Source organism: Homo sapiens, chromosome 2, assembly GCF_000001405.40.
Source record: "Homo sapiens chromosome 2, GRCh38.p14 Primary Assembly".
Lineage (NCBI taxonomy): Eukaryota > Metazoa > Chordata > Mammalia > Primates > Hominidae > Homo > Homo sapiens.
The window spans coordinates 177,620,479-177,636,383 of NC_000002.12; the positions used below are offsets into that span (position 1 = coordinate 177,620,479).

General features: G+C 39.6%; 1 protein-coding gene across 4 annotated transcripts in view, besides 1 other annotated feature; it reads right to left on the reverse strand.

Moving 5' to 3' along the window:
- PDE11A (phosphodiesterase 11A) overlaps positions 2,766-15,905 on the reverse strand; it is a 485,096-nt gene continuing 471,956 nt past the window's right edge. For all 4 annotated transcript variants that reach the window (NM_001077197.2, NM_016953.4, NM_001077358.2 and 1 more), the window contains one exon: positions 2,766-9,084. In NM_001077197.2, coding sequence (NP_001070665.1) covers positions 8,929-9,084 — 156 coding nt within the window. In that variant the 3' untranslated portion in view covers positions 2,766-8,928. The remainder of the gene's footprint in view (positions 9,085-15,905) is intronic.
- Positions 14,671-14,750: an enhancer, noted in NCBI's record as "active region_16799". NCBI's record gives its function as "activates an Ori minimal core promoter by ATAC-STARR-seq in GM12878 lymphoblastoid cells {active_cell/tissue: GM12878}" and the evidence as "EXISTENCE:reporter gene assay evidence [ECO:0000049][PMID:35858748]".

The window sequence follows — 15,905 nt, forward strand, 5'->3', positions numbered from 1 at the left end:
TCTTTCAATCTGATCTCTTGGTGCACCCTTTTAGAGTCTTAAGCCCAAGGAGGTACATGGGTAGAGGATACTGCTCAGTAATAAATTGGGGGAAGGGGTGCATCGACTTCTTTACAGCAGGCTGCCTGATGGTTCTCCCTTGGGAATTTAGGCTCAGTATTTTATTTATTTATTTTTTAGAGACAGGGCTTTGTTCTGTTGCTCAGGCTGACATGCAGTGGCATGATCATAGTTCACTGCAGCCTTGAACTCCTGGGCTTAAGTGATCCTCATGCTTCAGCCTCCTGAGTAGCTGGGACTACAGGTGCACAACCATGCCTGGCTAATCTTTTTTAAAAAATGTTTTAATGGAGATAGGGTCTCACCATGTTGCCCAGGCTCATCTCGAACTCCTGGCCTCAAGCAACCCTCCCACTTTGGCCTTCCAAAGTGCTGGGATTACAGGTGTGAGCCACTGTGCCTCGCAAGGCTCAGTATTTTAAAATTCTTATATATGTACTGTTACCTTAGGTAATTTGCTATTAAATTAAGGTGAGATGACAACATGGGAATGGGAAATTGCCCTTCATTAGTCTTTCTCTCTGTTTTGCAGAGTTGTATTTACATCATCTTCAAATGGCTTCTTGAAAATGTATGAAAATAAAAGGACTATATTCTCCTCCAAATTTCTGGGATCCCTACCAGGATTCAGTTGGGGTTCTCCTCTTTGTGTGGGTACCTGTGAGCATGGTGGCTGAAGTGGGCAGGAGGGAGGCCGTTCTGTGTCTCTTCCTCCTTATTTCATGTGATGCTGCTCCAGAGGCCTGGCTTGAAAAGAGCAGGACATTCTGCTTAGACAGATGGAGGGCAGGGTCATTTTCAAAATGAAATGAGTGCACAAATCACACTGTGAAATTGGCATGACCATCACTGCTGCTGTGATAGACTGACTTTTATCTGGTCTCTGATAGGCAGTTGGGGAATAGATTAGTTTTGTTGGGCGTGGTGGTGAGAGAAGGCTGTTTAATGATAGAAATTATGGAAAGAATGAAATAGGGTGGAATATTATAAAGTGTCATAAAGCATCATTTTGTTTGCAATAGGATCTTGAAAACCTGGAGGATATATCAAAAAGTAAGTGTATCATACCATTTCAATTAATAGGAAAGCATTTGGTGGTTGCAATAAAGTGATTTGGTGACTTGTAGAAAGGAATTGTAGTTTGATGAAATTTGAGTTGGACTCAGGGTGGATTTTGCTACACAAAGGGAGACATGTTTATCACGTAGAAGAGTTTCATTTAGGCGAAATAGATAGGAACAAAAAGCATGATGCTTGGTTCTTAGCATACTTATGTTCTGCCTGCCAAAATATGCCATGATCAAGTCCCATATTCTATTTGTATGTACAATCTATTTGGCATTCTCTTTTAAAACTAGTTGGCAGGTATGTCTTATTTATACTGTATCTGTGGCCCCTTTCTGTTGGTAAACATTGTTAATTTGTGAGTTTTTCAACCACAGCTGTGGTCAAACATCTTCCTTTATAAGGGAGGACCTTCTGCAAATCCATTTTCCAGTTGTTATTTCTTTTTCCCTTGGATTTCAGACCATTTTCTTCAGGATGGACAGTTTGTGGAGTTCAGTTATCTTGCATCCCCTTTCTCCCACTCCAGTCTTCTACCGTGAACAGAGAAGAAAACTATAAATTAGTGCCAAATTGGAAATATAGTTGACTGACTTTTTGGAGCATCTGTTCCACCTTTTAAGACTTTGGGAAAGAGTGTATGCTAAAATCAACACTTGAGAACATTTGTCCTCAGATGGTGTGACATTTAACCTCATTATGAACTCTCCTTTTGCGGGTAGTTCCAGCTTTATTAATATTTTAATTAGATTTCCTTCTTGAATATCCCTTGCTTTTGATCAAGTAGCTTGTATTTTGGGGTTTACAGTATTATTGTCTAAATTAACTTCCCAGGGAGAACACAATAGCATTTTGGTTTATAAAAGGGATTAATGGAGAAGGCAAAACTGTGGATACAGCAGCATTTAAAAAAAAAAAATCAACCATTCAGACAAAGAGCTACTCCAAGCCCCTGTGTTTATGCAGTACTTTGAGTATCAGGCCTGCTTTGCCTAACTTCCCTCATTAATCCTCACAGCCCTTCTGTGAATTAGGTGAGCCTTACTGTGGGCCCCACTTTAAAACTGCAGACTGCAAAGCACAAAGAAGCCAGTGATTGCAGCAGCCAGCAATGGTGATTGCTTATGCTGGCCAGTAGAGGGTCACACTGCACCTCTTCCCTCTCTCTCCCTGGCCACCTCCTCTCCAGTCATTTGAATTGGCTTTGGATCATTTGCTGCAGTTTGTTCTAATAGAACAGGCACAATGGTGTAAGAATTTTAAAGTTTAAGCACCGAAGCCGTTGTGTAATTGTATGGCGACAGTGTGGCTAGCGGCCCTGCATTGATGCGATCCCCCTGTGTAATTGCCCATGCAAATTTGAGCAATCTGTAACGGACACAGGAACCCAGCATTTGTCCGCAGACTCTCCTACCTCCAGAAAAACTTCGATAATTTGAAGAACCTTTTGTCATCTTTAAAAAGCTATATGGACAGGCGTGTCCTAGTGTCCCTCTCACACATGAAAACATCACAGATCAACACAAGGTTAATGGACTAAATTAACAGTCAACATTTAAACTGTAGGTATTTGGATGCTTGCTTCCTTCTTTCAGCCCTGAAATCACCCTTCTCAAAAGAAATAAAGATTATTCCAGAGCTTTAGTTAAACTCTAAGTATTTTATTAAAAACAAAGATATTCAGGTCTCTTAAAGCGGGCTTCCAAAACTATGGATTAGTTGCTTGTGAAATGGCCAACCTGTCTATAATGTAATATTCTTACAATGAAACATCAGTCTGGGAAATCTACACAAAGTGAATGATTTCAAACAACTCAATTGAAAACGTATTTCCTTTCTTTCGTGTAAAACAATAATAATTAGGAAGGAAGTCAGTAGGAGATCCTTTTTAGGTTATTGTACATGAAAATAAAATGGCAAAAGCAATTTCCCCCCAAGGGAATGAGACTCAACAAAACTTAGCCTCCTATTTCCAATGTTATTTTTAAAATTTCATCTAAATATGTCTTAATCTAAACTAGAGTAAAAGAAAAATTGAGATTCGAATACACACGCATATACACACAGAAAATGAACACAGATATAAACGGTGGCACAAATAATACATTTTTCACAGCAAATACTTCATTACTTAATAAAAAAACACATTTGTGTACTAGCGTATACAAAAATGACATTGGTGTAGTTATGTTATACAGATAAACAATTTATCTTTAGCAGTGAGGAGAGAGGTACCAAACATGCAAGAACATTCAAAATTAAATTTAAAAAAGTACAACCCCAAATTACTAGCTGAAGACAAGGTCATGACAAACAGTGTCAGCATGACATTGGGCATTGCTAAATCTAAATGCTCATCATGAAATTCTCCAGATACACCTCATTTTATTTCTGCCCTCTATATGTTTTATTCTATTATTCTTCACTTAGGAAGCTGGTGCAATTTTGGCCTTCTTGTAGTCAGACTTAACCTTTACATTTCCTGATACATTTGAGTTTTGGGAGTTCTTTACAGCATGTAGCAGAATAACAATTTCAGAGACTGTTACTCTGAAGCAGATAATGAAACTTCATTACAGTGGCATTGCCAGAGTTTTTAGGGTCCCAAATTAGGTTTTGTTCTGTTGCTTTAATGAATCCTTTTTGTGTTTTGGTGGTTTTTTTTTTTTTCAGCCAAGGCATTTTTCTTTATATTTAAATCTTTCCCTAGTATGTCTAGGTTTCTGTCCCACTGGAAGGAAATTGTTTCACACTATTACTGGAGATGAAACTGGTTTTTGTCTTTCTGCAATTTCTAAGAGTCAGCAGGAAAAATAGATTTTAAAATAATTTTACTGCAGAATAAATTGGGCAGATTCTGTTTAATTACCTAGTGTTAAGTGGAAAAAGTTATGATAAATTTTGATACACAGAAAAAGCAACTGGATTCTGGCAGCATTAATATTAGATAATATTGTTATTACACTAACACAAAATGTTAAAGATGATTTCTAACCCAATGTATTTGCAAATATACAATACCTGGAAATGCATAGACATCTCAGATTTTAGAAACAAAATGCATGTGCAATTTTAACTTCTCTTAACTTTATAAATTCACTTCTAAATTAATGACTACCATTTATGGGATATGTGTGATATCAGATAATCTAAAATTGTTTTTTATGAAATAAAAGGACATATAAGGTGGGTGTGGTGGTTCATATCTCTAACCCTAACACTTTGGGAGGCCAAGGCAGGAGGATTGCTTGAGCCCAGGAGTTCGAGACCAGTGTGGTCAGCATAGTGAGGCCTCGTCTTTACAAACAATACAAAATTTAGCTGGGTGTGGTGGTGCACACCTGTGGTCCCAGCTACTCATGAGGCTGAGGCAGGAAAGATCACTTAAGTTGGAGAGGTCAAGGCTGCAGTGGCTGTGATTGTGCCACTGCCCTCCAGCCTGGGTGACAGAGCAAGACCCTGTCTCAAAAAAAGGACATATCTTTTTTTAAATTGTATTGATGACTACATCTTTCATCATAATTAGAGACAGGCTCAAGATACATCTGTAGTATGATTGTGCTTACATCTACCCCATATATGTAAGTTTTATTATGTCTTTATTAAGAAGATGACTGCTTTAGGTTTGTTGCTATTTTATTTGAGAAGAATAAAAAAGAAAATTATCTGGAAAATTTCTTTAAAGCTAAACACGTCTTGGTCCTTTGGTGTGGGGACTGAATAAAAGTCAGTGCTTTTATGTAATAGATGGAGATTCTAAGACTTGGAGAGTCCTAAGATTACAGGTTCAGCTGGTGGCCAAGCTAGGAGGGAGTTCCAGTCTGCTATGCACTGAATGGCACCCTTTGCAGTATGTGAAGCTGTCCCTACCCACCAGGATTGCCACTACATTGTAGATTGTGCACATAATAGCTACATAGTGACTAGTAAGAATAAATATGTCTGAAAAAAATACATCTCATCGAAAAAGTAGGATGAAGTTATTTCAACAATTAATGCCAAGAGACCTGAGGAAGCAAACATAATCTGGTCAGTTTGAGTTTTTACAAGAAGGCTCATATTTCAAATGTCTTTCTCCAATAGGAAATAAACATTAATAATAAGGACTGGGAAACTTCCTTTCTCTTTTTTGGAAAAGCAGATTATATGGATAACTGCATATGCCTCACATTCTTGCAAAATTATAAATTGTTTAGAAAAGGGATTAAAAACGCCTGAAACCCGCAAGAGTTCAACCTCTAACCTCTGGGGTTGTTGGCACCAGGAAGCTGCTACCTTCCTGTCCACTGCTTCATAGTCATGGAGACACAGACCCATGGCATTAGTCAGCAGTTTCTAAATCTTGACCCACAATAGGAAAGATACCTCAAGACAGGAGAAATAGATGGAGGCAATTACAAACAGCTACTAGATTGATGGTTGACATTGTCAGGGCTCCACTGTATGGCAGATTGCAATGGTGTTGAACTCCCCTTGCTACCAGTGGATGTTGCTATTGGCAACCATGCAGTGAAGCCAATAAAACGGCAAGAAAATGAGAGGAAAACTCAACCTTAGTGGAAGCTTGTAGGGTTTATGCTATAAATTATGTTCCCCTTAGCAATATGTAGCATCAATGTTCAGGATAGCTACAGTGCTCACGGCAGCCTGCAGTCTCTGTCAGACCCTGGGTCCAGTTTTGTCATAAAGCACATGCTTTAAAATGTTGCTGTAGATGGACTGGCATCCATTTGTCTGGGCTATTTATTTATTTATTGTTGGGGAGGATAACAGATGTGGGCTCATCTCTGCCTCACACAGACTGATTTTCAATTCCCGTTCGTGATATAAACATGATGTGGCACATTACCCAGAAACACCTGCAGTGCTTCGGAGCTGCAGACACGTCACGATCTCGCAGACCAGACTCTGTCCCTGACTCCACCCACCCTTTGTTCCCCACCTGAAGGAGGAGAGACAGCCCTGCAGAAGCTATTTTCCTTTATAGCAGAGTGATACAGAAAACTGGCTTAATAAAATCCATAAATCTGAACAACCTCCTCTTACCTGCTCTGCAGAGGCAGTTTCTTCCTGCATTCATTTCCCCCTCTACTTTCTCCAGTCTTCCCTGCAGAGACAGCTGTAAAGGGTAGCTAGGAACATTATTTTTTAGGGCTCTCACTCCTTCCTTCTCCCCTTTCTCAAACCCCTCCCTGCTCAAGTGTCTCTCTTTTCTGAGCAATTGATGACAGGGTTCTACACCTTCATTTTTTTTGGTTGGAAGTGCCATTTTTCTTTGTTTGGATTGACTTTCACCTTTTTTTTTTTTTTTTCATTTCCCTTAACCACCTGTCTCGGTCCCTGTCTTTCCTTTACTGGTGTTCTTACGTTTCTTTTTCTTCTTGCTTTTATTCCCCTCTTAGTCTGGTTTATACTTTTTTTTTTTTTTTTTTTTTTTTTTTTTTTTTTTGAGACGGAGTCTCGCTGGTCGCCCAGGCTGGAGGGCAGTGACGTGATCTCGACTCACTGCAAGCTCCGCCTCGCGGGTTCCCGCCATTCTCTTGCCTCAGCCTCCCCAGTAGCTGGGACTACAGACGCCTGCCACCGCGCCTGGCTAATTTGTTTTGTGTTTTTTAGTAGAGACAGGGTTTCACCGTGTTAGCCAGGACGGTCTCGATCTCCTGACCTCGTGATCCGCCCGCCTCGGCCTTCCAAATTGCTGGGATTACAGGCGTGAGCCACCGCGCCCGGTCTATACATTTCTTTTACTTTGTTTCTTGCCATAAAGAGTCTTTTTCTCTACAATTACCTGCTCTCCCCTCAATTCCATTTTGGTATCTTAATTTTACCCATTCCTTCTTCAGACATTTCCTGAATTGTCTACTGTGTGCCAGGAAAACAATGTCGCATGTAGAACATGGCCCCTATTTCTTTAATATCTGTAAAGTTAATGATTGATAATGATTAATAACAATAACAAGGGCCGGGTACGGTGGCTCACGCCTGTAATCCCAGCACTTTCGGAGGCAGAGGTGGGTGGCTCACCTGAGGTCAGGAGTTTGAGATCAGCCTGGCAAACATGGTGAAACCCTGTGTCTACTAAAAGTACAAAAATTAGCCAGGCGTGGTGGCAGGCACCTGTAATCCCAGCTTCTCAGGAGGTTGAGGCTGGAGAATTGCTTGAACCCAGGAAGCAGAGGTTGCAGTAAGCCGAGATCACGCCATTGCACTCCAGCCTGGGCAACAAGAGTGAAAACTCAGTCTCAAAAAACAAACAAACAAAGAAACAAAAACAATAACAAGAAAAATGGTTTGTAAATTTCAGATTTTTTTAAGAGCTAGAATGGCTCTCAGGTTTAATCTAGGCCAGGGATTTTCAAACTCTTCAGAGTCCCTGTGGACCCCCATGTACGTAATCAAAGAGATGAAGGTTTGTAGGTGCTCTGGATGTCCAAACCCTGCTTATAATTCACATAGGAATTCAGCTTTTTGACGTTTTATATGTTGGGGATTCATTGAAAGATTTATTTGAACAAAGAGTTGTAAGGTTAAAACATGTTCGAGAATCGTTTCCTAGTGTAATCTAATTTGACAAATAAGGAAACAAGCTTGTAGAAGTTAAGTGACTTGTTCAAGTCAATCCAGTCAATAATGCCAAAGCTAAGGATAGAAATCTATCTTCTAGCCCAATGTTCTTTGGATAACACATACCATGTCCACAATTTCTCAATATAGGGAGCAAAGCAGCTTTCTAGTCATTACATCTACTTAATACAGTTTATTCTTACCTATTGTAAACCTGGCTTCCTATAGAATATGCGTTCTTTGCCCAGACTGTTATTTCTTAACATTTGAAGCATTGTTTCTTACACTTAAGGAAAAATCCAAAATTAGGGACCCCTATAGTTTGCTTTAAGTTGGTTACTGGTAGTAATCTTAAATTTTATACCAGAACTCCTCACTAGGAGAACTCAAGGTAGTCAATGCTTAGTCTCCATGGCTCTGCTCTGTCCTGTGAACTATAGTTTCTAGATGTCACTTGTGGTAAATCCAGCTACAGATTTCCTTCCACCCTTACTTTAATCAAAATCTATCAATCCATTCCTTCTGGGAGAAAACTTTGTCTGTAATGAAGGTTGAATTTTAAAACTCTGGAAAAGGGTACCATAGTCCCAGTCTAGAATTACCCATCAAACACATTTGCTATAGTCCTACTATGTATTCATTTTTAGGGGGAGAACTGGGATTGATCAGTATTTATAAGGATAGTATAGTTTACCTTTTAGGTAGGCAATTCTAAAGGATCCATCAATAAGAAGCTCTAGGATTAAAAATAAAATACCTCTATGGAATACAAATTAGGATTCTTGGGACAGTCTGGCACAAAAAGGCATTCAGGGACAGGAAGCAAAGACAGGCAGTGTTTGGCTTGTAACAAACAGAAAAGCCCTATACAAAACGAAGCAGCGCTAATGACGCTTTTACTGTTCAGTGTTCCCTCAGCTCAGAGTAAGTAGGCCGACTGTCCACAGGTCCTTGGATCCAAAACAGTCCCCTACCCAGAGCCTTCATTTCAGCCCATGCGTGTTCATTAGGGAAAAGTGAGGGTCCTGGGGTGTGCTCCCTGCCCCACCTCTTTCTTTGTCCTTCCCGTTGCTCTCTCTGCTGCTGACCATGCTTCAAGGTGAAAGCCCAGGCATGCTTCCCAGTGCATCCTTGAGATGTTAGGTCTTTCTGAGCTAAAAGAACAAAAGGATGACATTGCTGGACTGAAAATGGCCCTTCAGGCTGTAGTCATTTTGCAGCTGCAGCTGACCTGGAGGTTTAGTTCCTGTCTTCCTTGGCTACCATAACACTGGCAGGGGAGGATGAGGCAGTTGAGGCCAGCAGTCGTTTTTGGTGTAGCTCTTCCCACTTACTTCTGTTTGTAGCTACTGAATCTAGCATCGGCTTCAGTTTCACGTTGACCTTCACCAGTGCCTAAAACAAAACAAAACAAAACACAGGTGGAGGAGAGAGGAAACAGAGTAACTGACATGATTTTCCACCTTTCACTTATGAGGAGAATGGAAACTGGCTATAGGAAATGAAAGTGATGATTATTTTGGTAAACAAGAGCTATTTACAAGAAGTAAATATGCATTTAACACCAATATGTTGTATTAATAGAGCCTACTTAGAGAATGAAAAAATAAGACATCACCAGCATAGCTGTGTACAACTCTAGGGGACACCAGCCATGTAGACTCAAATCCTGTTTTACAACTACATCAAGCAAGACAGGAAACAAAATATCCAGCTCACATATGCCTACTTACGTGTGCATCTTTGCCTGCCACAGAGGGCTCCAGATCTCAATTGACTATGCACTTAAATTTTTACAAAATAATCCTACAATTGCTTTACCATAGATGACTCTGGGTGGACTTACTTGAATAGGAAAGGTCAGGTAAAATCCTGAAATGAGGAGGTGCTCATTTTTAAAGCTAAAGATCTGGGAGTTGTGCTAAATATACAAAGCATGGAAACATGCATGGAAATAGACATGGCAGAAAGGGAAGCAGTGTGGAAGAGAGTGACAGAGGGATGAAAGGGGGATGAGGGAAGAGGAAATGTAGGGTGTGGCCAGGGGCAGATGGACGACCAGGCTGATGAAAGTCAGGCTTCAGCATCCTCACTTGTGCCAGACCCTTCTAAGTATATTCTTTTGTGCTTAATTTTGTGTGTGTGTGTTTTTAAGAGTCCTCCTGTTCCCAAATGGTATAAGCTTGTCTCACCGCTCCTGGGTTGCCCCTGGTAGTGGAATGAGAGCCCTAAAAGTAAGATGGCTTACTTTAATTTAATGCAAATGAGTCCATCTTCAGCTTTCATATCAGAGGGCTTCTCCAAGATAGGGGGTAACATGGGGGCAGGGCCGAGGATTTTGTTTCTGAACTGGGACTAGAACAAATTCAAGGAGCTCAGATTAAAGAGCAATAGGTAAATATTTTACAGGTCAGAGGAGCATGGAATTTACTCTGCCCAACAGGAAAATTCCACTATTCTCTACTTTACTGATTATTTTCTTTCTTTTAAATGCATGAATATCTACATTTTCCTTATTTTAATTTTTTTTTACTTTTCATAATGAAAGGCTTCTAACATATTCAACCAGTAAAATATGATCAGCAAAAATCTCTATTATGTATCTATATGCCTGTAAAGATGAATAATAAGTAAAGCCACCCATGTAAAACATATGTAACAAAGGATCTAGGAGCCTTTTAATTTTCTGGACAGCTCAATGAAAAGGGAAATAAGATTTTGATGACATTTAACTTTTAGAAACATGGTCTTTGTCCTTTTAAACCATGAGGTTTTGGGGGGTTGTTTTAAAAATAATACCTTTTCTTCCCTTCACAGTTATTTTATATATTTTAAGTAACATGTTAGTGTTAGAAAATATAGAAACAATAGGTTTAAAAAGTAGGAAATGGAGATAATTTATAATCTCATAACTCAAGAGATAGACACTACTAACTTTTGGGTTTTGCCTTGAATGGAATCTTTCTATTATGTTTCTAACTGGTGAAATGATCAGAACATCTAAAATATGGCTCATGCCTGTAATCCCAGCACTTTAGGAGGCTGAGGTGAGTGGATCATTTGAGGTCAGGAGTTTGAGACCAGCCTGGCCAACATGGTGAAACCTCATCTCTACTAAAAATGCAAAAAAAAAAAAAAAAAAACAAAAAAAAAAACAACCTAGGCGTGGTGGCACATGCCTCACATGCCTGTAATCCTAGCTACTTGGGAGGCTGAGGCAGGAGAATCGCTTGAACCCAGGAGGCAGAAGTTGCAGTGGGCTGAGATCACACCACTGCACTCCAGCCTGGGCAACAGAGTGAGACTCTATCTCAAAAAAAAAAAAAAAAAAAAAAAAAAAAAAAAATATATATATATATATATATATATATATATATATACACATGTATATATATATATATACATGTATATATATATACACACACATATATATGTGTGTATATATATACATATATGTGTGTGTATATATATACATATATATGTGTGTGTATATATATACACATATATATATGGTATTTTATAATCTCAGTTTAAAAATGGACAGAATCAATGAGAATGTATGGATTTTTAAGCATTCATACTTCTTGGGCCTGTTTTCCATCTCCAGGGTCTGAAAGAAGTATAAAAAGCTGGCATCCCACGTGGATGAGGGGGAGCTTCTGTTAACACCTAACACCTCCTATGTGTTAAACACATTGCCAGCTGCTCTGCATACTTCATCTCAGCTATTCCTCACAATGACTGTGCATCTTACAGATGATAAAACATGTCCCCCACATGTTAGGATCATAAATGATCCTTAGCCTTTCCATCACAGGAGGAAGGTAAGAATCCATATAGGAAGTTAGGGCTTCCTTTTGTAATCTTTCCATTTGTTTTGGAAGCTATGGAGAAAACCATTGTTTTTCTCAAGTAAAAGTCAGGGATAGGACACTAGCCTGCCATATAGAATGAAGATATAGAGAAATCTGCTGAGGATGTAACATAAAAGGGAAGCTCTTAAAGAGTCAAGAAGAAAAACCAAGGAATAATAAGATACACGTCTTGAAATTGTATGGCTTCAACCTTTGTCAATGCACAATTCCAACCAGCTAGTAATTGTATCATTCCTGTTTTTAGAGACTGTGATGATGATGAGGAGACTGAAGACATGAACTTCTGAGGACACATTGAATGTGATTGCTGTTGTCATCAATTTGGGGTAAGGGTTGACACCAGGACCTTTCTTCTGACTTATTCATACCCATCTCTCCTTTCTTCTCTCCTCTTATCCATTAATTCTATCACCCATCATCTTGCATATGTATACAACTCTCATGAATTCTGACATTGTTCTTTGAATGTAATCTTATGTCACTTGAGGCCTCCCCAACCCTTTAGACTTGAGATTAGACCTCAAATCTATTTCATGCTCTGGGGGACCTTTCAGACTCCTGCCAGTGATTTCCAAGTCTTACTTCCTTGTACTCTCTGACTTCTTCTTGAGTCTATTTGGCCCTCTTGACTCCATTCTGCATCATTCCTAATGCAGTATTTCACTTTATTTCCCCTTTTCACAGGAAATCCCATCACCCTCAACATTTTGGATGCCTACTAACTGTACCGAACTTTAGAGGTTGTCATAGGGGAAGTGACTTACCCACTGACTTACTCTTACATACTCCTTTTCATCTCAAAGGGCACAGTCTTTTACCCCATGGAGAGTAATCCAGTTTTCTCCCCAGCCCTAGCTCACTGCTTTTATACAGATCTGGACTGCCAGCCAGCCAGTTTTTTCCCAGGCTCCCCAGAATTCTGACAAATTAAAGTTTCCCTTTCTTGTTGCACTAAGGCCTATAAGGTAGTTTTTATTTTCCTTATAAAGAAATAAAAGAAAGAACACAGAAGTTGTGAGATTATTAGCCTATGGAAAGGTGATTTCCCACTTTATGCTTTGGGTTAGTTAGCTATTTTTTGTTCTGTGGACAGGGTTATATCCCTGGTCCCGTGTAAACACCTTGCAGGTGCATCCCATTCATCACAAGGGGGACAAAAGGTGAACATATCATTAAACCACTATGATTTCAGCACACCTTGTGAAAAGCCTTCTCCAAGCATGACTGTGGTTAGGGAGTAGTCAATAGTAAGTCCTCCAACAGGAAGAATAGCTCTTTTTCTGTTAGAATGCCAGAGTGTATGACTCCAAGCACAACTGCAAACCACCTGTTAGTAAACCTAATTTATCTGCTCAAATAATCCTCTGCTCCAGGGAGTTATATGAATATGAGTAAAATGTAACTAGATGTAAGTTAACGGAGTGGGGGTGGGGGTTGAAAGCCCGATGTCCTTAAGACAGAGTATGTTCTGTCTCTCTCTTAACAGTGATATTTATCACACTAAACAGAAACATCTAATTTTAAATCAAATTTACTAGTTATTTCATATGATAATAAAACAAAGCAACATTGTAACTCCAGCAGCGATCAAAATCCCCTTTATTTCCATGAGAAAAATACAGGTGCTTGTTTTCCACTCAATGCATAGTGTTTTTATTTAGACAATAGTGTGAGGGAGCCACAACTGCCATGGTTTTATTTAGTATAGCTTGGCACCAGCTCCTCTTTACTCTGATCAAGCCTTTTAATTAAACTGACTACTATAATTCCTATGGAAATTAGTGTTTATGTTATTTTCCTGCTACAAAAGCATTTCTCCAGAACTTATTTTTTTTAATCCCAGGAGCATAAATTAGAATTTTTTTCTGCTTGATATGTAATTAAAAACTCATTTGATTACAATATTTCTGGCTCTGTTTTACTTATTAAATTCCTGTAATCAGTTTTCTTTTATGAAGCTGCTGGGAAATGATCTTAAAAGCAACACATTTTTTTCTTCCCTGGCAGGTACCCAAGCATTTACTAAATTACATTCATAGCACCTGCCCATGATTCGAATCATTCCACCAATTTATTCCTTAAGCCATTTAAGTTTATTTGGCATAGCCCCAAACAGCTTTCTTCCCTTTATCCTTGCTCTTTGTTCTCCTTCTTGCTTCCTTTGTATGGAATAAAGAAATTGGGGAGGGAGGAGGAATACATATTTCTCAGAATTCCTTTCTCTTTGTTTTATATTCTCCTGAAACACAGAATTGCCATACTAGAATATCGTTTTCCTGTGGCCAGGTGCTGGTTCTAGGCAAAGGTAACAAAACTCCTATCTTGAAAACTTACTTTTTCTCTCTCTCTTTTTTTTTTTTTTGTGAGAAGGAGTCTCGCTCTGACGCCCAGGCTGGAGTGCAGTGGGGCGATCTCGGCTCACTCCAAGCTCCGCCTCCCTGGTTCAAGCGATTCTCTTGCTCAGCTTCCCGAGCAGCTCGGACTACAGGCGCCCGCCACCACGCCTGGCTAATTTTTTTGTATTTTTAGTAGGGACGGGGTTTCACCGTGTTAGCCAGGGTGGTCTCCGTCTCCTGACCTCGTGATCCCCCCGCCTCCGCCTCCCAAAGTGCTGGGATTACAGGCGTGAGCCACCGCGCCCGGCCGACTTATTCTTACACTCTTAATTTGTTACAGAAATGCAGTTAGCTGAGAGAATATGGAACTATTAAAATACTAGTAAAGCAAGGGTTTATCCACGAACCTAAATTCCAAGGCTTATGGTGATTATGTGTAGTGAGTCATCAGCAAGAGAATTGCTTCTAGTATTTAAAAGTTTCTTATCAAGTGATACGGGATGGGTTCTGTGAGAATGCTATTGTCTAGTTTGACTTGCTCCTCAGTGAAAGAGAAGGGGGGAAACTTAGCACCCATCTGATCACTCTCCATATACACACGGAGGAACTCTAAAGGTTATGTATGCGGCTGCATCAGCCTCAAGACACCTGACTCTCCTCTGTGGCATCCCTGCTGCGTGACCACACAGCTACCGTTGAAACCCTTTCAGAGGCAGTGCGTGCACAACCTCCCAGGGGAGTCCATTTAGTTTTTGATTGTTCTGTTTTTAAAATGTTGTTCCTTTATGTTGGACTGAAATCTATACCCCTGTAACTTCTACCTAATGGTTCTAATCCTTAGGGTGCTCTTTCTTTAAACCAGAATTTTCTTTAGTAGTGTAGGACTGATAACTCAGGTTTTGTTTCAAGTGTAGGTTAGAGTTGATGCTGACCTAAAAACCCTATTTGGGATGCAGTGCTTCTCCCTTGGGGCAACCTTTTTGACATCACTGGGGCCCCATGTTCCTTCCAGTTCCCTCCTGGCCCATCGCAGACAGGACCTCGGATACTTGCCCCACTATGGGACACAGCCTGGGCATCTGGTCATCTAGGTGGCCAAGGGACCCCACTTATTTCCTGATTTCATTCACACTCCACTGTTGAGTTCTCTTGTGACCAGCATATACAGTTTATTCCGTATTTTATTTATGTTTTGAATAAGGAACACATTCACATAGTTCCATGGATACAAAACGGTACAAAGGTGCAATATAAAATCTCCGTTCTACTATTTCCCAGACACTCAGTTTCCTCCCCTAGAGGCAACAGATGTTTTCAGTGTCTTGAGTAGATAATCAAGAAAAATTTTCTGAATGTGTAAGAACATAAATATATTTGCCCCTTTTTACAAATGGTAGTACACCATACAGAGGGATCTGCACTTTGCCTTTTATTCTTAATATATCTTGGGAAAAACTCATATCACTACAAAATTAGATTTCCTCATTTTTTATGGCTATCTAGTATTCCACTGCTGTCAAAATTTGTTTAACCAGTTCCTTTTTGATGGAACCCAAACATTGTTTATATTTGGCCATTACAAATAATGCTGTAATGGATATCCCTGTACATAGCCTCTCCATAGGTGTGAAGTTTATCAGAGAGTCAAATTCTAGAATGGGTATTGCTGGGTGAAAGGGAATGTGTATTTGCGTTTTGGTAGATATTACTGAATCAACAAATATAATTTTACTTAAGATATATAGCAGGATTTTTATAATAGCCATACTAACAAAAGAGAGGGAACAGAAACCATAGCTACTGTTTAGATTAAGGCCTTGGAAAGATAGTGTGAGGGTGGGTAGAGCTAAGAAGGATACACAAATCTAGAATTTGATCCCTCTCTTCTCTGTATACTCCAGATGCTAATTTCTACACAGTACACTTGGTATCACTGAAGCATCATAATCATGTTGTCCAGAAGGTTTTGATTTTACTCCCTCTCTGAAAGAAACTCCCCAAATGG